The sequence below is a fragment of the Homo sapiens genome, chromosome 6 (genome assembly GCF_000001405.40).
Source record: "Homo sapiens chromosome 6, GRCh38.p14 Primary Assembly".
NCBI classification, from domain to species: domain Eukaryota; kingdom Metazoa; phylum Chordata; class Mammalia; order Primates; family Hominidae; genus Homo; species Homo sapiens.
The window spans coordinates 815,651-840,150 of NC_000006.12; the positions used below are offsets into that span (position 1 = coordinate 815,651).

The 24,500-nt window shown below is 40.7% G+C and overlaps 5 annotated features.

Annotated features, from left to right (window-relative positions):
- Positions 13,683 to 14,230: an enhancer, noted in NCBI's record as "OCT4-NANOG-H3K4me1 hESC enhancer chr6:829333-829880 (GRCh37/hg19 assembly coordinates)". NCBI's record gives its function as "activates a minimal SCP1, AML or CMV promoter by ChIP-STARR-seq in naive and primed H9 embryonic stem cells {active_cell/tissue: H9 hESC(naive and primed)}" and the evidence as "EXISTENCE:reporter gene assay evidence [ECO:0000049][PMID:30033119]".
- Positions 13,683 to 14,776: a biological region, named in NCBI's record as "OCT4-NANOG-H3K4me1 hESC enhancers GRCh37_chr6:829333-829880 and GRCh37_chr6:829881-830426".
- Positions 13,959 to 14,253: a silencer, noted in NCBI's record as "tiled region #881; HepG2 Repressive non-DNase unmatched - State 22:ReprW". NCBI's record gives its function as "represses a minimal TATA promoter and a strong SV40 promoter by Sharpr-MPRA in HepG2 cells {active_cell/tissue: HepG2}" and the evidence as "EXISTENCE:reporter gene assay evidence [ECO:0000049][PMID:27701403]".
- Positions 14,231 to 14,776: an enhancer, noted in NCBI's record as "OCT4-NANOG-H3K4me1 hESC enhancer chr6:829881-830426 (GRCh37/hg19 assembly coordinates)". NCBI's record gives its function as "activates a minimal SCP1, AML or CMV promoter by ChIP-STARR-seq in naive and primed H9 embryonic stem cells {active_cell/tissue: H9 hESC(naive and primed)}" and the evidence as "EXISTENCE:reporter gene assay evidence [ECO:0000049][PMID:30033119]".
- Positions 23,503 to 24,052: an enhancer, noted in NCBI's record as "OCT4-NANOG hESC enhancer chr6:839153-839702 (GRCh37/hg19 assembly coordinates)". NCBI's record gives its function as "activates a minimal SCP1, AML or CMV promoter by ChIP-STARR-seq in primed H9 embryonic stem cells {active_cell/tissue: H9 hESC(primed)}" and the evidence as "EXISTENCE:reporter gene assay evidence [ECO:0000049][PMID:30033119]".

Below are 24,500 nucleotides of genomic sequence, written 5' to 3' on the forward strand. Positions count from 1 at the left end.
TGATGGAAAGAACATTTCCCTCCCCGTTTTGTCTCTTGTCCATACCTTTGAGCCATTCTCCTCTGAACATAAATCTCCCACTAGTTACTATCCTATTGCCAGTTGCCTAAGGTAATGAATAGTTGCTTGAACTTGTGTTGGTGGATTGGAGCAAACTCACTGCCACTTCTAGGGAAAGGGAAAGTCCTTCAAGTGATCTATCCTAATGATTGCAAGTCATCAATAATCCCACAGTTAGTGAGACGTCTTTGTGGGGGTTTGTACAGTTCTAATCACTTTATAAAAATAATGGAGAGAGTTTGGGCCTATGAAACATACTGTCTGAGCAGGGAGATAACACGCACACACACACACACACACACACACACACACAGACTTAAATATCTAGGCTGGGCGTGGTGGCTCACGCCTGTAATACCAGCACTTTGGGAGGTTGAGACGGGTGGGAGGTCAAGAGATCGAGACCATCCTGGCCAACATGGTGAAACCTCGTCTCTACTAAAAATACAAAAATTAGCTGGGCGTGGTGGCACTTGCCTGTAATCCCAGCTGCTTGGGAGGCTGAGGCAGGAGAATCACTTGAACCCAGGAGGCGGAGGTGGCAGTGAACCGAGATCAAGCCACTGCACTCCAGCCTGGTGACAGAGCAAGACTCCGTCTAAAAAAAAAAAAGATTTCAATATCTGTGTAAGATCTTAGCGTTAAAAAAAAATCAGGTGCTACGAGTTATAAGTTCCGTAGTGCAGAAGAAGAAATGTTTGCTGGGAACCTCAGGAAGGCTTCTTGTTCCAGTATTTTGTCCTGCCTGGTTAGCGTGTGAAAGCCAGCCAATGAAAGGAGGCCTGCTGCTCATCAGTGTCGGCCAACGATGCTTCCTATCAAGCACGTCTTTTCATTCTGATGCTTTGACATCTGGGGCCTTGCTGACCCTGGAAGGGATGGCCTCTCCCAGGGTTCACTAGTTCCTAGAGACAGTAAAGTGAGTGCACCTTTTAACTGCAAACCGACCAGCCCAGAGTCCACATTCCAGCCACCTCCTTTATAGGTTCTCACACTCCAGGCCACTATCCCTCTGCCCTAATCATCCCAGGGCCAGGTAACAGGCAGCTAGAGACAGCCGTGTGCCCAAGCCCACTGAGATTACGCAAACTGCCCAGTCCTAAAGCTGCTTGCCCGCCTCTTCTGTTCCTTCCTGCTGATACCACAATAGAGGCTCATGTCACAATTTCCCCTCACTCCGCCTCCTGCACTTCCCTGTGTGGCCCGTGTGGTGTGTTGCATGTGATGTGTGCTGCCCTCTCCCCTTCGGAACTGTGAATAACAAACTGTCTTCTCAATGACAGTCATCGAGTCATCTTCTGATCTGCTGGCCTCACCATACCTGAATAAGAATAAAACCCACATTTTAAAACCTACCTTTTTCCTGCTGCCTTCGAACACAGTCTGTCTCTGTGTGTGTGTGTGTGTGTGTGTGTGTGTGTGTGTATGTGTGTATTTCAGCTCCCAGCAAGCTTTCTAATGTATTAAAGTGAAGGTGGGGTATTGTAAAGTGTTTTTAGGTAGCTTTGATATTTTTAGGCCATCTACTTTTCTTTCATAGACTTTTCCATTTCGCTTTTAACATCTTGTCTTTATAAAGTATTTTTTAAAAACTTTATTTTGAGATAACTGTACATGCAGTTGTAAGAAATAATGCAGTTAGATCCCACATATCCTTCATCCAGTTTCCCCCAGTGGTAACATTTTGAAAAACTACGTTCAATATCACAACCAGGAAAATGACACTGGTGCAATCTGCCAACCCCACTCAGATTTCCCTGGCTCTACGTGTGTGTGTGTGTGTGTGTGTGTGTGTGTGTGTGTGTGTGTGTGTGTATGTCCATCACATGGGCAGATCCTGTGGGCACCACAGTCCAGATGCAAAGCAGAGAGCAGCTCCCCACAGGGATCCCGTGTGCTGCCCTTTTATAACCACTACCAACTTCTACCCAACCCCTCCCTAGTCCTTGGCAGCCACTAACCTGTTCTCCTTCTCCATAATTTTCTCATTCAGACATGTTAAATAAGCTGTTATATAAGTGGAATCATACGATATGCCACCTTTTGGTGTTTTTCTCCCACTCAGGATGCTTCCCTTGAGATGCCTCCAAAGTGCTGTGTATATCAGAACGTTGTTCCTTTTCATTGCTGAGTAGCGTTCCATGGTGTGGATGTGCCAGGGTGTGGACACTGTAACAGGACATTACAACAACAAATATATGGTTGTTTAAATCATACACTTGCCACCTGTATTAGTCCCAAGACTCCACATTCATTAACTCAAATATTCTTATCTCCCGTGGCTGCCATGTGACATCCCCCTGTTCCTACCCCGTCAAAGCTCTCCTGTCACTTTCAAAGAGAATCTATCTCTAAAATCGGAGGACAAACCTCTCTGTAACCTCAGGATAGTTAATCGTTTTCTGTGCACCTCATTCCTGGGGATAATTACTCATTTTCTGTGCACCTCATTCCTGGGGATAATTACTCATTTTCTGTGCACCTCATTCCTGGAGATAATTACTCATTTTCTCTTTGCTTCATTTTCCCCTTCTATATATGGAACTAGCAAGTATTTCTATTTCTAATGTTGAAAAGGTTAATGTGATCACTTGTGTTTACACAGCCTGAGACAGGTTATATAAATTATTCAGACTATGTATGTGTGAGTCACCTCTCTCCCTCAACTAGACCTAAAGCAATAGGTGATCAAAAATAGCTTCATCAGCAGAACGCCACCTTTTCCCAGCCAGGCCCTGTTCCCTGTAGCACTTAGTTCTCAGAATCCTGCCTTTCCAGGGGTCCAGGGCTTAGACTTTGTCCAGGAACAAACCGCTTGAAGTTGGCAGACAATTATTCATTATCAGCTCCTTAAGAAGGAATTAACTGGACCTGCACAGGATTGGACTTGTAACTCAATTACGACATTAATTTAAAAGGTGACTTGATAAAGGCCAGGCAGAGGCCACATGAATTCCCCTTTCTGGCTAAAATTTTGCCTGTATCCTGGACTCTGTGCTTACTACATCTTATTTTTATTCCTCTAAGTACCAAAAAAGAATGCTTATGCATTTATAGCCATCATCATAGAATTATCAGAATTTTAGACTTGTTGGAATTTCAACCAGACCAACCTCTGGATGTCCCAAGCTGAACTATTGCTGTCTGAACACTGTGGTTCCTTAGCCACAGCTTCAGGGCAATGGCATCCCTTCTGCTGGGCTCAGGGTCTCTGTACCCAGTACGATTGACCCTGCTGCCTGGGTTGTAGCAGGAATATGATTTTGAAACTTTTCCCGTTGATTTTGATGATCATGCAGGTAGGGGATCTCTGTCCTAGGGGGCACTGCAGGAAAGCCCCTTCCAAGTCTTTGCCTCCTTAAAATAAGCAGGGTCAGGAAACTATGCAAAGAGATTGAGGTTGCTTTGAGGAGCCTGGGGATGAGCTGGAGTCCTCACAGTTCGGGAAGTTGAATGCCTCAGTGGACAGGCACTATGTGGCCCAGCTGGCTCAGCTGGCTCCCAGGCAGAGCAAGCGTGAACTTGGCAATCGTTTAGCCTCTGATAGGGGGACAGTTGGCCTCTTTTTGGTCACTAGGAGGGTGTAGTCAACTAACAGAAAATCCTGCAAACCGGATCTTCCAAAGAGCTGATGCTATGTCCTGTCCAAGGCCGGTGCATACCTTGGAGTGTCAAATATGAGATAATATACTGCAGCTGAAAGGAGTATTTGTTACTCATTAAACAACACAGAAGTTCTGAGTAACCAGCTTGCTTCCCTCTGGGGACTTAGTACAGGGAGACATCTTGCTCTGTAGAAAATCAGAGCAAGATGCCTGCCTTTTGCAGTAATGGCTATAGCAAATTACCATGGGTTTGAATGACACTAGTAGAGTGCTGATTACTAGACAATTAAAAACAAGGAAAGGGAATGCTATTATAAAAGAGGAAACATTTTGTGGACCTTGAAGTAGAAGTAACGCTAGTTTGTAAGGCTCTCTAGTCTGCTTGTTATTTGGTGCCATATTCCATACACCTGGTTTGTTTCTAAAAATCACACAGCAGGTAAATGTAAATGTGAAGTTTCTCACATAATGACAAACATGCTAATTTAATATACTTTTGAAGTTCCATTACTTTTAAGTAAGTAAAGCTGCCAGACTTTTGCGTTTTCCTCAATATCTGAAAATCACCTTTCCGACAGGATGGAGCTGTAGCAGGGTGGCTTATTTGTAATGAAGTCGAATTGCATGTGATTTTGCCACCAGCATTTCCAGTCTTGAACTTCTTAAGTGCCAACTACATATTTCTGAGCAAATAAGTAAATGAATAAGGTTGCCTGTTAGCAAGAAAAGAATGTTACTTTGTATTATATTGACTTGCATTGCCTTGAAGAGAAAAGAATTGCCCAATACGAATATAAATTACTTTATAAATCCAGTGGCAAAAAGAAGTACTTGGTTCCAAGTGTCGCTCATATAGTCTGGACAAGTCCAAGTGAACAATGTGTGTTTGATCAGTGAAGGTCCTCATGTTTTCTAATCATTCTTTATTCACTCCTTAAGGCTTTATTTTTTAAATTCCACAGCTGGGAAAAGTGAGAACAATGATACAGGATCATAGCTGCCTTTTTGAAGTAGATTTCTTCAGCATGCAGGAAACATAATGTTTTGTTTTTCTTAATTTTTATCATTCTTCCCATTCTTTTACCAGAACTCTCTTCTTCCATGTCTGGAATATTCCTGATGGGAAGCTGGACATTTAGGATGAAGCAGCAGGACTGTGTTGAGAGCTATTCCTCCCAAAAAGCCATGTCTTCTTCAATAATGCTAAGTGGCAGTTGTTCTTCAAAAATTATCTATCTATCTATCTATCTATCTATCTATCTATCTATCTATCTATCTATCTAATCTATTTCTCTATCATCTCTATCAATTTTCTATCTGTCTATCTTATGAAAACTCTATATATTTATGGAATTTTTCTTACTAAAATGTGACAGTCTTCCTTCTAGAAGCCAGAGGAATGCATGCTATTCTTTCCATGCCCTGGTGCATAAGCAGCACCCAGCAACTAGCTGTGAAAGTTGCTGCTGTGACTCCTCCAGAGTTTCTGGGCAGCAGAAGGTATTTGATCTTGAATTTTGTAACCCAGATGTCTGCTGAGGCTTATAAGGCTCTAGCAGCAATGGCCCGCCCTGTAGATAAAGCTGTCCCTTTTTAGGGTTTCTACCCCCAAATCCTTTCACACCAAGCACACCTGAGTTCTGTAGGGTTTATAAAGGTCTGGGTGTTTCAGGGAAGAACCAGCTGCCATCTCCCTAGGATCACGCTCCTTCCTTTCCCCTCTTGCGTCTCCTTTGAATACCCTCCAACCCAGAGTGCCGACCCCCTCTTCCCCAGAAACTCCAAATGCCTATTTCTCTCTCTATCATGCCCTGAACTTCTCAAGGCAGTCCTTATAACACACACAGACACAAAACACAACTCTTCCTAAGAGAAATTTTAATTAATTTTTCTCCACACTGTTCTGTTCATATTATTCAGAATGAATAGGTTAAACATTTATCATGTTAAAATCTGCCATTCATCAGGGATCTGAAGCTGCTGGGAGAAATGTTTCAATAGAAAGGAGGGCTCTGAAGTGCACAGACAGTGCTTGAAAAAGTCAAGACAAGAAAGCAAGCATGCTTTGAATATTTCCAAAAGAAGATGGATAACCAAAGTCTCTAACTTTCATAACATTTGAAGACATTCAAGATAGAACAATAACTGAATAACTTAACTGATGCAAATAATACAAAATATTTTTTTGCATCACTGTGTGTATAAACCCAGACATTTATTAAACACTGCATCGAAAATAAAGTATGTAAATCATTTGCTGTTTCAGCTGACCTGAGGAGCCGGTTCAGTACCTCATGCCCAAGGTGATGCAGTTGTGTAATTAAAAGACTCAAAAACTGTTTCTCATAAGAATATTTGCATTTGCAGATGCCACATATTTTAAGAGTAATTCAAAGTGAAATAATCTCACCTACTCTTACATGATTAATTCTTAATAAAGTAGAAATAAGGTAATAGTTACATTTTTTATGAAATATAAGTAATGAATAATAAAATTTTGAGTATATCTTGAAGCAATTACTTTGTATTTCAAATTATTTTTTCTCTGCTATTTATTTTAATCTCAGCAGCATTATAATTTAAGAGCTCTTATTTTCTTTAAAATTATGTTATAATTTGTAAAGTGCTCTGTAGTCAGATACTTTGGGGACGTGTTAGCTAAAATTGTTTTGGACACTGGGGTATGAGGCTGAATCAGGACGTCTCTGTGCCCCAATAGCACACACTCATAGCCTCGCCTTGTTATTCTGCATTTGCCCTACCAGGTCCACTCCCCCGTTCTGCCCTGCTCTGGGCCCCTTTACATTCAGCATCTAGCTGGTCCCCTCACCCTCTGGCTTCAGCTTGGGTTCATGCGATGGGGGCATTGGCGTGAAATCAGAAGGCTGGAGGAGAAGGGGTTGGGCGTGGCTTCCCCCATATCCCACTTCCCGACTGGTTTCTCAATGGCTATGCCCCTTACGTATGATCCCAGCTCCCAGCTCCTCCCTATCCTAGGCCACAGCTCTGCTGGGTTTTGGAATCCCTCCTCTCTTTCCGTTTCCCTAAGGCCTACAGCACTAAACAACAACCAAAAAAAAAGAAATTAGCAGTTAGACAAGGAAGAAAACATTCACATAAAGCAGAGGCTACAGGAGCTGAAAGGAGACATAGCTGGAAAGCCTCTGACAAGAGGGGACTTTAATATGCCACTCTCAGTAGGAGAGGGAACAGGTGAGCAAAAACACACAATGAGAAACAAGATCCAAACAACATAGCCTTTGAGACAGATGTTGTGGGCGTACAATTTTATACTGTGATAATGACCCTCACTTTATCTCAGACACCTGATTATTCACAAAAGTTGATCATATATTAGGTCACAAATAAAACATCAATAAATGTCATAAAGAAGAAGTATTTCAAACTACACTATCTAGGCACAATGCAATAAAAGTAAAAAGTATTAACAAAACAAAAATGTCTTACCACATGAAAAATGGAAAACATTCTATTAAACAACTCTTAGGCAAAGGGAAGTACAAATAGAAATTACAGAATTGTAAATAATGATAATGAAAATATCACGTCAGAATCTATGGACTATGCTTAAATAAGTGATCAGAGGCACACTAAGTTCCTTCTTGACCTGCATAAGTGGGGAATGTCTAAGTGTGGTGGTGGCAGAAACCCGATTCAAATCGCTATAGGGGCACTCGCTCTCTCTTATCCAGGTAACAGCTCCAGAGCCCCTTATTTGAAGTTTCCCATAAGTAAGGACACTGGATTTATTCCACATATGTGGAATTCTTTAAGCCATCCACAGATTATCCTCAGCCATCGTGACTGTTTCCTGAGAAACAAAAATAGCTGTTTTCAGGGGTTATTAATGCTGGCTCTGAGTTCGGTGCTATTCCAGGAAACTAAAAACGCCTCTATAAGTAAAAGTGGGGCCTTATGAAAGTCAGGTGATACAACCTGAGTCTTTCTTATAATGGATCCAGAATGACCACAAGCCACAAATCCTGGTCAGTCCCAGTCCCAAAATGCACAGGCAGAACAGATACCTTTCTAACCGGCAGACCACTGGTTACTGATCCATGTAGCGATGGCTCTTAGAGTAAAAAGAGTCAAGTGGAAGCCCCTAGAATTGCCCACTTCCCGTCACCTCTCAGCAAAATGGTAAACCAAAAGCAATGCTTCATTACTGGGGGAGTTGCAGAGATTTATGTCACCTTAAAAGATGTGAAAGATGCAGAGTAGTGATTTTTATTGCATTTTCGCTTAACTCACCTATGAGCCTTATGCAAAATGAGATGGGTCTCGCAGAATGACTCTGGATTATCATAAACTTAATGCCCACAGCTACAATTTTCTGGATGTTGCGTCTTTACTAGAGGAAATGCTTCTTTGTAATGATATGTATAATCCTCTAATGAGCAAAGGTAAAGATAAACAGATTACTTTTTTTTTTTTTGACAGAATCTCGCTCAGTTGCCCAGGCTGGACGTCCAGGCTGGAGTGCAGTGGCGCGATCTCAGCTCACTGCAAGCTCTGCCTCCCGGGTTCATGCCATTCTTCTGCCTCAGCCTCCCGAGTAGCTGGGACTACAGGTGCCCGCTATCACACCTGGCTGCTTATTTTATTTTATCTTATTTTATTATTATTATACTTTAACTTCTGGGGTACATGTGCACAATGTGCAGGTTTGTTACATATGTATACATGTGCCACATTGGTGTGCTGCACCCGTTAACTCGTCATTTACTTTAGGTATATCTCCTAATGCTATCCCTCCCCCTCCCCCCACAACACGACAGGCCCTGATGTGTGACATTCCGCACCCTGTGTCCAAGTGTTGGTCTCATTGTTCAATTCCCACCTTTGAGTGAGAACATGCGGTGTTTGGTTTTCTGTCCTTGCGATAGTTTTCTCAGAATGGTGGTTTCTAACTTCATCTATGTCCCTGCAAAGGACATGAACTCACCTTTTTTTATGGCTGCATAGTATTCCATGGTGTATATGTGCCACATTTTCTTAATCCAGTCTATCATTGTTGGACATTTGGGTTGGTTCCAAGTCTTTGCTATTGTGAATAGTGCCGCAATAAACATACGTGTGCATGTGTCTTTACAGCAGCATGATTTATAAATCCTTTGGGTATATGCCCAGTAATGGGATGGCTGGGTCAAATGGTATTTCTAGTTCTAGATCCTTGAGGAATCGCCACACTGTCTTCCACAATGGTTGAACTAGTTTACAGTCCCACCAACAGTGTAAAAGCATTCCTGTTTCTCCACATCCTCTCCAGCACCTGTTGTTTCCTGACTTTTTAATGATCGCCATTCTAACTGGTGTGAGATGGTATCTCATTGTGGTTTTGATTTGCATTTCTGATGAGAAATGCATGAGCATTCAGTGACGATGAGCATTTTTTCATGCGTCTGTTGGCTGCATAAATATCTTCTTTTGAGAAGTGTCTGTTCATATCCTTTGCCCACTTTTTGATGGGGTTGTTTGATTTTTTCTTGTAAATTTGTTTAAGTTCTTTGTAGATTCTGTATATTAGCCCTTTGTCAGATGGGTAGATTGCGAACATTTTCTCCCATTCTGTGGGTTGCCTGTTCACTCTGTTAGTTTCTTTTGCTGTGCAGAAGCTCTTTAGTTTAATTAGATCCCATTTGTCAATTTTGGCTTTTGTTGCCATTGCTTTTGGTGTTTTAGTCATGAAGTCCTTGCCCATGCCTATATCCTGAATGGTATTGCCTAGGTTTTCTTCTAGAGTTTTTATGGTTTTAGGTCTAACATTTAAGTCTTTAATCCATCTTGAATTAATTTTTGTATAAGGTGTAAGGAAGGGATCCAGTTTCAGCTTTCCACATATGGCTAGCCAGTTTTCCCAGCACCATTTATTAAATAGGGAAGCCTTCCCCCATTTCTTGTTTTTGTCAGGTTTGTCAAAGATCAGATGGTTGTAGATGTGTGGGATTATTTCCAAGGACTCTATTCTGTTCCATTGGTCTATATCTCTGTTTTGGTACCAGGACCATGCTGTTTTGATTACTGCGGCCTTGTAGTATAGTTTGAAGTCAGGTAGTGTGATGCCTCCAGCCTTGTTCTTTTGGCTTAGGATTGTCTTGGCTATGCAGGCTCTTTTTTGGTTCCATATGAACTTTAAAGTAGTTTTTTCCAGTTCTATGAAGAAAGTCATTGGTAGCTTGATGGGGATGGCATTAAATCTATAATTACCTTGGGCAGTATGGCCATTTTCACAATATTGATTCTTCTTATCCATGAGCATGGAAAGTTCTTCCATTTGTTTGTGTCCTCTTTTATTTCGTTGAGCAGTTGTTTGTAGTTCTCCTTGAAGAGGTCCTTCACATCCCTTGTAGGTTGGATTCCCAGGTATTTTATTCTCTTTGAATACAATTGTGAATGGGAGTTCACTCATGATTTGGCTCTCTGTTTCTGTGTTATTGGTGTATAGGAATGCTTGTGATTTTTGCACATTGATTTTGTATCCTAAGACTTTGCTGAAGTTGCTTATCAGCTTAAGGAGATTTTGGGCTGAGACGATGGGGTTTTCTAAATATACAATCTTGTCATCTGCAAACAGGGACAACTTGACTTCCTCTTTTCCTACTTGAATACCCTTTATTTCTTTCTCTTGCCTGATTGCCCTGGCCAGAACTTCCAACACTATGTTGAGTAGGAGTGGTGAGAGAGGGCACCCCTGTCTTGTGCCAGTTTTGAAAGAGAATGCTTCCAGTTTTTGCCCATTCGGTATGATATTGGCTGTGGGTTTGTCATAAATAGCTCTTATTATTTTGAGATACGTCCCATCAATACCTAGTTTATTGAGAGTTTTTATCATGAAGGATTGTTGAATTTTGTTGAAGGCCTTTTCTGCATCTATAGAGATAATCATGTGGTTTTTGTCTTTGGTTCTGTTTATGTGATGGATTATGTTTATTGATTTGTGTATGTTGAACCAGCCTTGCATCCCAGGGATGAAGCCAACTTGATCGTAGTGGATAAGCTTTTTGATGTGGTGCTTGATTTGGTTTGCCAGTATTTTATTGAGGATTTTTGCATCGATGTTCATCAGGGATATTGGTCTAAAATTCTCCGTTTTGTGTGTGTGTCTCTGCCAGGCTTTGGTAACAGGATGAGGTTGACCTCATAAAATGAATTAGGGAGGACTCCCTCTTTTTCTATTGATTGAAATAGTTTCAGAAGGAATGGTACCAACTCCTCTTTGTACCTCTAGTAGAATTCGGCTGTGAATCCATCTGGTCCTGGACTTTTTTTGGTTGGTAGGCTCACACCCGCTATTGTTTTTTTTGTATTTTTAGTAGAGATGGGGTTTCACCATGTTAGCCAGGCTGACCTCATGATCTGCCCGCCTCAGCCTCCCAAAGTGCTGGGATTATAGGCATAAGCCACCGTGCCCAGCCCAGATCAGTTTCATTTGGATGGAGCAGCAGTACACACTCACTGCCTCATATCAGGATTCTATCAGTTCTGGTCTCTGTTATATTTAAATCACATTAATTTTCTTGATTTCCCATACAGCATTATGGTTTGTCTGTGTGATTACTGGGCATAGAAATAAGAAACATGAATTGTCCCAGAAGCTTTTGTAAAACAGAGGGATGGAAACAAACCCTGAGAAAGTTCTTAGGCCTTAGTGAAGTTTCTAGGAGTAGAGTGGTTGGAACATGTGGGATATTTCCATTAAAGTGGGAGAGAAGATTGGTGAGAGATGATGTCAGTGAAAATGGAAGAATAGGAACCTCTAGGGCCCATCCCTCCCATGGCACTGAGAAAAAAAAAAGATTTGCAACAACCAAGTAAATGTTTAGCCAGGAGAAAGGCCACTGAAAAAGGGTAAGAGAGCTTCATGGCATTTTAGCTTACCGTGACCCCAGCAACCCCTTCCCTGCTGCAGTGGCCCTCTTGAAGACTGCAGTCTGCACTTCCAGCATGGTTACCTGATTCAAGGGGAGAAGCGTGGGCGTTTTCCCTGAGGAATGTGTCTGTCTGTTTTGACCTGACTGTGCTTTCTCCAGAGGACTGTGGCAAGGGCTTCCTTTTTTAAGCCTAATCTGTACCTTGTCAGACTGAAACAGCTATGTGGTTCTCAAAAGCAATAAAAGCCAAAAGTTGGGCAAACAATAGGCATGCAAAAAGCTGAGTGGGAATACTTAGGAAGTATGATTTGTTGGGGGTGGAATAGAGGTTTTGAAAAGCTACTGCATGTATGGGGAACTTAAAAAGCCGCACACATGCTCAGGGAAGGACACACACTCAGAAAGGAACTGAGAAAGTTTATGGCTGGTAAACTTTCACCTTTGGCTGGTCTTGAGGTAACCACAGACAGGAAGTGAAGGCTAAGGCAGAGTTGTAAATGGCCTGGCTAAGTGGAGTGTCTTAACACAGAGCCAATCTGAAAATACCTGGGAACATTTCCATTCCTTTCCTTTTCTTCCTTCTTCATTTTATTTCTCCTTTTTCATATTGTAATATTAAAAATATCAAATTTCCAACAAATTCATTCAAAAGTCACTTGACAATGGATATTTTAAAATTCAAAAATATTCAACTTCAATAAGAAATATTATGAAATATGCAAAGAAGCCAGAAATTATGATGCCTTTACAGGGAAAAACTATAAATTAACGGAAACTCTCCCTGAGGGAGCGAAGACACTGGATTTACTAGACAAAAACTTTAAGTCTACTGTCTAAAACATGCTCAATGATCTAAAGAACACCATGGACAAAGAGCAAAAAGCACAAGAAGAATAATATCTCAATATGTAAAAAATTACAAGAAGAGAATGAAATTATGAAAATGAATCACATATAAATTCTGGAATTGAAAAGTATTACTAAAATGAAAAACGTATGAGGGGGTTCAATAGCAGATTTTAGCTGACAGAAAAAAGAGTCAATAGGTCAAATGAAACAATCTAGTCTGAGAAGCAGAAAAAAGAAAGAAATGGAGAAAAATGAAGAGGGCCTAAAAGACTCAAGCAACAACATCAAGTGCATCAACCAAGGCATAATGGAAGTCCCAGAGGCAAGGAGAGAGAGAACGGGGCAGGGAGAATATTTGATGAGATAATAGTTAAAACCTCCCAATTTGACAAATACATGAACCTATTCATTCAAGAAGCTCAATGAACTTCTTTTTGGTTAGAATAAACTCAAAGAGATGCACAAGAAGACACCTTATAGTCAAAGTCAAAAGCCAAAATCAAATCTCGAAAGCAGCAAGATAACAGACTCAGCACATACAAAGGACTGTCAGTTATATTAACAGCAGAAACCATGGGACCAGAGGCAGTGGAATGACACATTTAAAGTGCTGAAAGAAAAAAATGCTTTTCATATTCAGCAAAAATATTCTTCAAGACTGAAGGACAGATTAAGGCATTCTCTGCTAAACAAAAGCTGAGGAAGTTCCTTCCTGACAGGCTTGCCCTATAAGAAATGCTAAAGGGGGCCGGGCGCAGTGGCTCATGCCTGTAATCCCAGCACTTTGGGAGGCTGAGGTGGGCGGATCACGGGGTCAGGAGATTGAGACCATCCCAGCTAACATGGTGAAACCCTGTCTCTACTAAAAATACAAAAAAATTAGCCGGGCGTGGTGGCGGGAGCCTGTAGTCCCAGCTACTCGGGAGGCTGAGGCAGGAGAATGATGTGAACCTGGAGGTGGAGCTTGCAGTGAGCTGAGATCACACCACTGCGCTCCAGCCTGGGCGACAGAGCAAGACTCCATCTCAAAAAAAAGAAATGCTAAAGGGAACCGTTCAGATTCAGACAGGAGGCAATAACTTGCCATAGGAAGAAATAAAATACAAGTGTAAAGGTAACTACATAGGTAAATACTAAAACCAGTATTATTGTATTTTTGGTTTACAGCTTACTTTTTTCCTTGATGAGTTAAAAGACAAAGGCATGAAACAATAATTATAAATCTATGTTAATGGGCACACAAAGTCTAAAGATGTGATTTGTGACGATATAGCAATCTGAAAAGGGAGAAATGGAGCTGCATGAAAGAGTTTTGTATAGTACCGAGTCTGTAAATTGATATTAATTCAAACTACATTGTTACTAATTTAAGATCCTAATTGTAACACCCAAGGTAACAACTAAGAAAGCAACTATTAATAAAAATGTACTTTTCTGAAGAGGAAATGAATAAGGAATAAAGATCATACACTATAAAAAATCAATTAAACACAAAGAAGCTAGCATGGAAGAATTAAAGAATAAGAAAGATACGAGACTTACAGAAAACCAAAGCAAAACGGCAAGAAGTAAAGTGAGTGACAAACCATTGAATCTTGTTCTGCCCACCATGGAGAAAAAGGCACAATGCTGAGTGGTTCTCTTTCAATTTTGTAGGCAACACGTACCACATTTGAGCGTGCTGCTCTGTAAACCTGCTGAGTAAGCTCAGCATAAGAAAAGACTGTAATGGCTCTAAGCTCTTCTTCAAGCTGTTCTAATCTTTGAGAAAATAAACCGACAAGCACAATGGCACTGGGAGTCTGTGGCAAGTGAGGCTGTGGTATGAAGGACAGGCAAGTCTCAATAGGAGACTGGCAGAGCAGATGCCTGAGGTTTTAGAGGAAGGCTATGCCCTTTTGTGGTTACAACAATTCTTTTCCACTTGCAGGGCAGCTCCTGACTTGCTACTTGTCCCTTGCAGAGATGGAATGTCTAACCGTGGGATACCAAGTGACAACATGGTAGATGCCCATTGTGAACTGGATATTACACAATGAATTGAATTATAAAGTTGTGCCACATTGCATTCATTATTAAAGAAAACAGTATGTGTGGGATGGAGCTAAGCAGGTGCCAGAGGGCACAGGTAAGTGGCATGCATGCACAGGGATTCAGATACCACGTTACCTTTTCCTATTGCCTCATAACCTCTCCTTCAAGCTGAATCTATGGCCTCATTGGGAGTTTCCTGTATAAAATGAACAGAATAGGGAAAACAGTGGGCCTAGTTAATGGATGTATCTTGTGAAAAAGTAAGGACCTTGGTATGAAATGGGGTCTTTGATGAAACAGACAAGCCATCTAAATAGTATGTATTTACATATGGGTAGGCAGGGTTAAGGGAAATAAGGAATAGTTAGCACCCCAGGGCTAACAACACTGAGAAACGGATAACATGCTAGGCCTGAAACCGCAAGCAAAGGTGATGACTTTGAGAACCTGAGGAGGCCTGCATTAGACAGAGAAGGCTGCCTCCCTCCAAAAGATCTGTGGATTTGGGGAAAGTATACCATCATTGCCAAGTTGTAATTTTGGAGAAAGAAAGTTCAAAGGATGAATACACTGACCTCTCTCACCCCTCAAGCTCAAGTTTTCTCCTGATGCCTTTAAAAGGGATTCAAGGGATTTGGAGCTGACCGAAGAAGAAGACTTGACCACGAGAAGCAGTAACACCCAGCAAGCTTCACTGGGCAGCGCTTGGATAGGATCACATAAAGGATCCCTCACAGCAGGAGACTAGCCAGTGGCTTATGGGAGGGACACACCCAGAAGGGGAGGAGAGCAAGGGAACTCCTGGGGAGAGGAGGATTAGAGGAGGAGCTTACGTGTCCAGGTGATGCCACTCAGAAGCATGATAGTGGGGGCTCAAGTCGGAGAGCTCTGAAGGGCCGAAGTGGCTTGGGGAGCTTGCAACCATGAGGCTTTATCTTATAATGGCCAACAGATGCAGGATGAGGTGTCCTGGAGTATGCAGAGCACATGGGCTCTAACTAGCCCCAGATCTGCTTAGTTGGGCTATTTTTAAAATAATTGGATGTCCAACAACTTGAATTTGACACCTGTGGGCTTTTGAGGTAATAGATCTCAGCCTGCAGTGAAGAAATAAACAACCCAGGAGTCTATTTGCAGAGGCCATAATTGGCTCATTTCAATAACTGCCACCAGCTGGCCAAATCCAACTGGAAGCCAGAGAGCAAGGGAGTCTGTCTGATGCACTTGATAAAGGTCTGGCTCCTGGAACATGGAGTAAGGTGGGCATGGACCTGGACAGGCAAAGGGGAATGCACAGCAGAGGTCTTCCTGGTGTGATACCAGCAAGAAGTAGTGCCAACAGCTACTGTATCCTGATTCTACCCATCAACACAAAAATAAACTGTGAATTTGATAGAGCGGGATGAATTTGGGGTGATACGTCTGGTTTTCCACTGACTCAAGTTTCAAATTTATGCTGATTCATGTGTAGTGGATAACAGGCTGGTCAAGAACTGGAAAAGAACAGGACTGTAATAGTAGGGCAAGTAGGTCTGGGAGGAGGTGTGGGGCACACTTCTCAGATATCGGTGTCCTCACTGGCTTCTGTCTGTGGCTTCCTCACTTTAGCATGAAGCTTCTCCCTCAACTACTATAAGCAGGGGAGGAGAATGGTGGAAAGTTTCATGCTAGAATTCAATGCACACGTCACTGCCACTCACAACTTCTTGGCCTGAACTGGTTACACATTCCTGCCTGTGGGTGAGAAAGTATAATCAGAGACACTGGATACTGGTGACTCCAAGCAGCCTGTAGTGCATGCTCATATATACCATTTTATTCAGTACCATGATGATAATTTCTCAAAATATTATCTCAAAGTATTTCTCAAAATATTAATTTCTCAAAATATTAAAAGTAGTATTTAAGAATATAAGTTCTATAAGGCTGAAGGCATCACACTACCTGACTTCAAACTATACTACAAGGCTACAGTAACCAAAACAGCATGGTACTGGTACAAGAACAGACACATAGACCAGTGGAACAGAAAAGAGATTTCAGAAATAAGATGCACATATACAACCATCTGATATTTAACAAACCTGACAAAAACAAGCAATGGGGAAAGGGCTCCCTATTTAATAAATGGTGCTGGGAAGACTGGCTAGTCATATGCAGAAAATTGAAACTGCACCACTTTCTTACACCTTATACAAAAATTAATTAATGTCAAAAGCAATTGCAACAAAAGCAAAAATCGACAAATGGGATCTAATTAAACTAAAGAGCCTCTGCACAGCAAAAGAAACTATCATAACCTACAGAATGAGAGAATGTTTTTGCAATCTATCCAACAAAGTTCTAATATCCAGAATCTACTAGGAACTTAAACAAATTTACAAGAAAAACACAAACAATCCCATTAAAAAGTGGGGAAAAGACATGAACAGGCACTTCTCAAAAGAAGACATTTATGCAGCCAACAAACATATGAAAAAAAGCTCAACGTCACTGATCATTAGAGAAATGCAAGTCAAAACCACAACAAGATACTATCTTATACCAGTCAGAATGGTGAGTATTAAAAAGTCCAGAAACAACAGATGCTGGCAAAGCTGTGGAGAAATAGGAACACTTTTACATTGTTAGTGGGAGTGTAAATTAGTTCAGCCATTGTGGAAGGCAGTGTTGCAATTTCTCAAAGACCTAGAACCAGAAATCCCATTTGGCCCAGCAATCCCATTACTGGGTATATACCCAAAGGAATATAAATCATTCTATTATGAAGATACATGCACACGTATATTCACTACAGCACTATTCACAAAAGACATGGAATCAACCCAAATGTCCATCAGTGATAGATTGGGTAAAGAAAATGTGGTACATATACATCATGGAATACTATGCAGCCATAAAAAGGAAGGAGATCATGTCCTTTGCAGGGACATGGATGGAGCTAGAAGGCTTTATCCTCAGCAAACTAACACAGGAACAGAAAACCAAACACTGCATGTTCTCACGTATAAGTGGGAGCTGAACAATGAGAACACATGGACACAGAGAGGGGGACAACACACACTGGGGCCTGTTGGGGTGAAGTGTGAGGAGGGAGAGCATCAGGAAAAATAGCTAATGGTTGCTGGGCTTAACACCTAGGTGATGGGTTGATAGGTGCAGCAAACCACGATGGCACACGTTTACCTATGTAACAAACTTGCATGTCCTGCACATGTAACCTGGAACTTAAATTTAAAATAAATGAATAAATAAATAAGAAACTAGCAAAAAAAAAAAATACAAGTTCTAGAACCACATTATTTGGGTTCAACTCAAGTTTCTATTCCTTTCTAGTTGGGTGCCTTGAATAAGTTCCCTAACACCTTTGAGCTTCAGTTACCTCATTTATAAAATGAGGATAATAAGAAAACTGACCTCATAAGGTTTGTTGTGAAAATTAAATTACTTAGCATATTCAAAGTAATTAGCACCATACTTACCATGCAATACTTTTCCAATAATTTTTGGTGTTATTTCTTGAACTGATTTCATGAATGGAGACATGTTGGCTGATAGATGGGAGAGTTGGAATCGAATTTGAAAATATATTATCATTTGAATATGGGCTCCTCTCTTTTCAGACATTTACATGAAAACTTTCCTAAGTAACATCAGTCCAATATATCTAATCATGAGGGTTTTATGCCTTTTTTAGCCTGTGTTTTAGTTGGATGCTTTCAACCCAATTACTTATGCTCTAGACCTGGAAACAATTTTTCTAAACATTTAGAATTTGTCAAAACTGGATAGGGATAGGATCTTAACAGCTCTTAACAGTTTAATAGATCTAAACTCAGAAAATTTGGAATTCAAATTGGTCTTTTAGCCTGCTGATATAGTTTGGCTGTGTTCCCACCCAAATCTCATCTTAAATTGTAGTTCTCATAATCCCCACGTCATGGGAGGGAACCTGTAGGAGGTAATTGAATCATGGGGGCGGTTACCTTCAGGCTGTTCTCGTGATAGTGAGTGATAGTGATTCTCACGAGATCTGATGTTTTTTAAAGGGGCTTTTCCCATTTTGCTCGGCAGTTCTCCTTCCTGCCACCATGTGAAGAAGGATGTGTTTGCTTCCCCTTCTGCCATGATTGTAAGATACTTGAGGCCTCCCCAGCCCTGTGGAACTGTGAGTTAATTAAACCTCTTTCTTTTATAAATTACTCCGTCTTGGGCATTTCTTCACAGGAGCATGAGAACGGACTAATACACCTCCTTCCTTCCTTCCTTCCTTCCTTCCTACCTTCCTTCCTTCCTACCTTCCTTCCTTCCTTCCTTCCTACCTTCCTTCCTTCCTTCCTTCCTTCTTCCCACCTTCCTCCCTTCCTTCCTTTCACTTTCCATCTTTCTTACCACACAGGGAACCCTGCAAATGAGGCCTTATGCAAGGTGACAACCACTGTGACACACCTGTTCTGAGTGTTTGTCAGCAATGAGAAGGAATGACTCTGGACAGACTTGAGAGGCTTTTGTTCTCATGGGACTCCACAAAGATTGGTCTCCATAGTTCTCATTTTTAAAAAATGAATTAGTTTAAAGTTCACTGACTTGTCTTCATGGTAATATGTTAATGGGGATTTACTTGGAATTCATTCTAGATTCCCCACCTCCCCCATTCCTTCGAATACTTTATTATTGAAAGACATTTGTGCCTTGGGTGTCTGAGTAAACCCTTATCAAAGGGGCTAAGCTTTATTCCTGACCACACTGCAGAGCAGAAATAATCTCCATGTATTAATCACCTCAAGATCTTTAGGTGTAAAGTTTCATTTGAAGGATTTTGCAGGGATATTATATGCATGGTGAATGTTCCACTGGTAATTCTGGCCTAATTTTAGGGTTTTACAGTTGCTTTTGGTTATGCATGTTACTAAATTTACAAAATCTTTCATCTATTGCAAAATCCCAGGATGATTCTCACACAGAGGAAACTTTCTGACAAGTAAACATTTGAATGTGAGCCACTGGTAAGGCAATACTTCAAAAGAAAATCATTTGTCGTAGCTGACTTTTTTTTTTTTTTTTGGTCAAGATCAAACTGAGAAAATCTCCTTGAAGCTTGTAGGCTGGTCTGTGTCATGCAGCCTGGGTGTTGGAGGGCCTCCACCACCCCCCGCATCTGTGTTTACTGTCATTTCACCACCACTGGGTCAAATTGTAAGGAAAAATAAAACTTACATTAAGTAATGTTGTAAATACAAATAAAATCCATATAAAAATATGGACAGTGGGGATAAAAAGGTAAATATAAAGCAATGTAGGCAACTTCCCATTCATTGCAGCAAATAAGACCCATAACAGCATTTAGAAAATTTGCTAGATAGGAAAAGCAATTGCAAATTTCATGGGAATATTCAGGAGGAATAGTGGGAAGGCCAAACAAAAGCACTGTAGAAAAGAGGAGAGAGAGACACACACAGGAGACACCAAGATGAGTAGAATCTATGCTTGGCATTCAAGGAGCCCAGGGCCATCACTCAGCGGCTGCTAGACACACGCAGAGACAGGCCAAGGACACTAATCTCTGAGATTTGGTTGACTATGTTTAGACCTGGTCTCAGTTGTTATTTTAGTGGTTTATATGTCTTAAAATAGCAGTCTTTTAACTTTCCTCTTTAAATGTCAAGCTTGACTACTGCAGCTTCATTTCAAGGATCCCTTGTTGGGTGAATCAAAAATGTTTTAAAAAAGTCTTTCCCTTTTGAGCTGATTTTGTGAATATTCTCACATACTCTTGGGATTTTGGTTTCACCCCAGTTTTCTAATGACAGACATGTTGTAGGATTCTGCCCACACCCCCAGTGTGGGCTGACCTCTACAACCTGAACAATGACTCATCTAGGCTTTTCAAATATTAAACTAGCTTGTAAATCCTCTCTATGCCTAATGCCTCCACCAGCTCCTTGTCTGTGCCTTCACAAGTCATTAAAACTGTAAAGACATGAATTCTTGTTTTCTATGACCTGAAAGGATTCTACAGCACTAGCTATAGTTTCTAGCTATAACTTTCCACGCTGGCAAAGAGGTAGACAGTAACCATTTTATGAAAGGGGAACTAATGCTTTACAAAATGATTACTGTTTACTTCTTTGTCAGTTAACAGTATTATTAGGATATGTATTCAGGTAAAAATCTGCACTCCAAGCCCAGCCAGTCCATATTTGGCCCATCAATATTGCTGGAGCAAGCTTTTAACATGGCAACATATCCCACTGAAACACATGCATGGACTCTATTTAGGGAAGTTTTGTGAACTTCACCTGGACTCTCCCAGTTGCTAATAATATTGTCAGCTCATGGTGAATCACCCAGTACTCTCTCTCCCCTTGCTTGGCCCTCCCTTGGTCCTCCCCTCCCTGCCTTTACACACTGGCTGCTTATTTGTGTGCTGGGCAGACAAAGTCAAAAAGGACAGACACAGTCCCTGCCTTTAAAAAGCGATGGGAAGAGAAAGGGAGCATTGCCACACTGAGGAAAGGAAGCATTGCCACACCCACCATGGGGCCCACGCTGGGTGGGGAAAAGTTCAGGAGAGCTTCCTGGAAGAGGTGACATTGGAGTAGCATTTAGAAGGATGCACTAATCCCATGAATAAAGCCAAGAAAGGGCATTTCTGGACAAGAGAATGGCATGGAAGTGCAAAGCACTAAGAGGAAGGAAAGGACAAAAGATTACAAACTGCAAAGAGCTGCATGAGCTATTTTGCCTATGGCAGCTCCACTGGGTGGGCATTCACCTACCGTTGCTTGGGATATGGGGTTTGGTTTTTGCGTGGTGATGCGTGCCAGAGATGAAAGGGGTTTCCAGGGTCTTTGCTCTTAGTCTCGGGTGAACTGCCTTGTATCAGTACTGTCCTCTCTTCATAAGCATTCCTTGGGCTGAAACAACCTTGGCTTCTGGTCTCAGGAGCCTTTTCTCCTGGTGCAAAAGCCCCAGGCTACCTGGTTACAGCATCAGGATTAGATTGGCTGGTTTTACTGCAGCAGTGCTTAAGTAAATCCGAATGTAGGAAAATCACTGTTTTAAAGCAATGTAGTTTGATCAGTTAGAACGACACTGATCTTTTCCTTGTATGAACTTAGAATCTGATCTGTAAGATTCTATTCATTTTATGCATCTTTTTCAGGGTCAGTATTCACTCCTTCAACAGCTCATGAGCATTATAAAGAAAAATAACCTTCTTTTAGATGCTTTAACACAGTTTCCCAAACTTGCAACATAAGAATCACTTGGGATGCTTGTTACTTAGACAGATGACTGGGGCTTTCCCCTGGGAATTCTGATTTAATAGGTCTGGGGGTGGGCTCTGGGAACTTTTATTTATTTTTTAATAAGTATGCTAGGCAGTTCTTATTGTCAGGCTAGTTTGGAAAACACAGTGCACTTAGCCCGTGTTTTACTGGATATTAGGCAATAAACAAATACGTCTACTTACACCAGGCAAAGTATGCATGATGACATTGATGATGTACATTTCGCAGGTCAGGAAACTAAAGCTCAAAGGTAAGTGACTCACATAAGAGCACACTACTGGTAACAGAATGACCTGTCATCAAATCCAGAGCCTCTGGGTTCTGTTACATTACAGTCCAAATGATGGACGTTAAAATTGTAAGATCTGATTGAGGTTTATGTCAGGACTTGTAAAATTAACTTTTTTAAATTGGGCTTTATTTTAGGTTGTACTAGTTCAGTTATACATGGCTTTTAATGTAGTGATTTTATGGGGGAAAAGTTGTTTAGAGCAAGCCAAGCTAAATTTAGTTTGTTGCCATTTGAATTTATTAATTCAGAGATAGCTAACTCAGTTAAAATAGTTTTCTTTTCAAAGAAGGCTATATATTGTTTAAAACGTTAAGAGACCTAAGGTATGTAAATGTGTTTGTTTCTTTTCAAAATAAAGCAAACCAAAAGTAAATAAGTAAAACAAATCAGCTCACAAAAGTATATACTAGAGAATTATTTATGTCATTCAAATTAGTTTCTGTCCATAGTTATATTCTACAAACCCATTCTTTCTGATATTTGCTAATTAATACCAAATATTTAATTTACCTTAATTCATGATTCCTTCAGAACCAAATTGAAATTTGCCTTGGAGTTATTTATCAGAAAACAATTTGCTTAGCATATTGGTAGCATAAAGAGCTTCAAAAAAGATGTATAGATATATATATATATTTTCAATTTCTTCTGTAGAAACAGTTGCATGGCAAGTCAAAACACTGAGACAATGGGGACTGCAGCAGAGAAAGAGTTTAATAATCTTAGGACAGCTGAACAAAGAGATGGGAGGAAACCTCAAATCCACTTCTCCAAGGAATTCGGGGCTAGGGATTTTAAGGAGTTTGGAATGGACCAAGGTGTGGGGATTGTTGACTGGTCAAAGAGAGCAGGGTGAAGTCATGGGATGTGGGGATTGTTGACTGGTCAAAGAGAGCAGGGTGAAGTTATGGGATGAGGGGATGAAGAAACTGCCTTCTCATGCTGATTTGGTTCCTCATGGGGATTTTCACTCTGGTTGGCATCAGCAATTCCCAGTGGAATTCAGGGTCTGAAGAACATCTTAAGTAAATCTGAAGCAAAAGCCTTATGATTCCAATGTCAGACACGATTCCTATATAGGAACAATGAGGATGTAAATGGTCAGCATTGAGTGACCTTTAGCTACAACAAAGTGGACCAAAGTGCAGCCCGATGATGATTAATTATAATTATATTTCTGTCCAGAACCCAGTACGTAATTCTTGTTAACCCTGTGAGAACAATTTCACAAATAGTTGATTACAAATTGCTCTTTAGTGAAGACCCTGCAGAGCCTCTGCTTAGCAGCTGATGCTACGTACTTAAATATATTAAAATGACTTTTACAGTAAATAAAGGAATTATTTAACATATTACATGACACTTTATGATGTATTCACTGTGACTTATTATATGTATTTCTCTCTGATTAATTCAATGTAGAATAGTTTCACTAAGCTCTTCAGTAGAAGAGATCGCTTCCTAAACATGCAGCATGTTTCAGTCATGTGTGAAGCAGCTTTGGCTTTTTTAGATTAATTAGGGAAAGATGTGATTACAATAGTCATAGTTGTAGCTGCATTTATGCATGTACATAAATGCATTTACTCAGTTATTAACCCAATAAGCAGTTATTTAGTAGATTCTTTGCTAGGCCCTTGGGAGACAGAGAGAAGCAAGTTGCTGACCTTACATTCCAGGAGCTCAAAGTCTTCTAGCAGAGCCAGACAGGAACCCCACCATCACTCCACAGTGGGAAACCTCTGTGATGCGTATGCCCAGGATGCTCTCAGATCAGAGAGAAAAGTCGCTCACTCAGCTCAGAAGAGTTCAAGAAGGCTTTCAGGGGAAATTATGTTTTGACAAGTAAATCAAATGTTTACTAAAAATAGAAACTTCAAAAATTATTATTCATGATGTTTTCATAATTCTCTAGTTTGAAGACACAATACTGGATTGGTGGCACAATATTCATTTAGATGTGAGGCACTGGTCTGGTTGAAAAGTCAGTTGAATTTTATTATATTTTGTATTTTTTGTCCCTCTTAGAATTATTTAAATTTTTAAGTAGTTTTTTTATAGCTGTTTTTAACTTTACAGCAAAATTTAGTGAAAGTATGGAGAGTTCCCATAAAAAAAACAGGGAAATATCTGAACAGCAGCTTCACCAAAGAAGATACACAAATGACAAGTAAGTATAGGAAAAGATGATCTACTTCATATGCCATTAGGGAATTTTAATTTAAAACAACAAGAGATACACCTACACAGCTATTATAAGGTCCAAAACACTGACAATATCAAATGTTGGCAAGGATGTGGAGCAACGGGAACTCTCATTTATGGCCCATGGGAATGCAAAATGGTACAACCACTTTGCAAAATAGTTTAGTGGTTTCTAACAAAACTGAAAGTACCCTGACTATATGATCCAGCAATCATGCTCCTTGTCATTTACCCAAATGAGTTGAAAACTTGTGTCCATGCAAAAACCCAC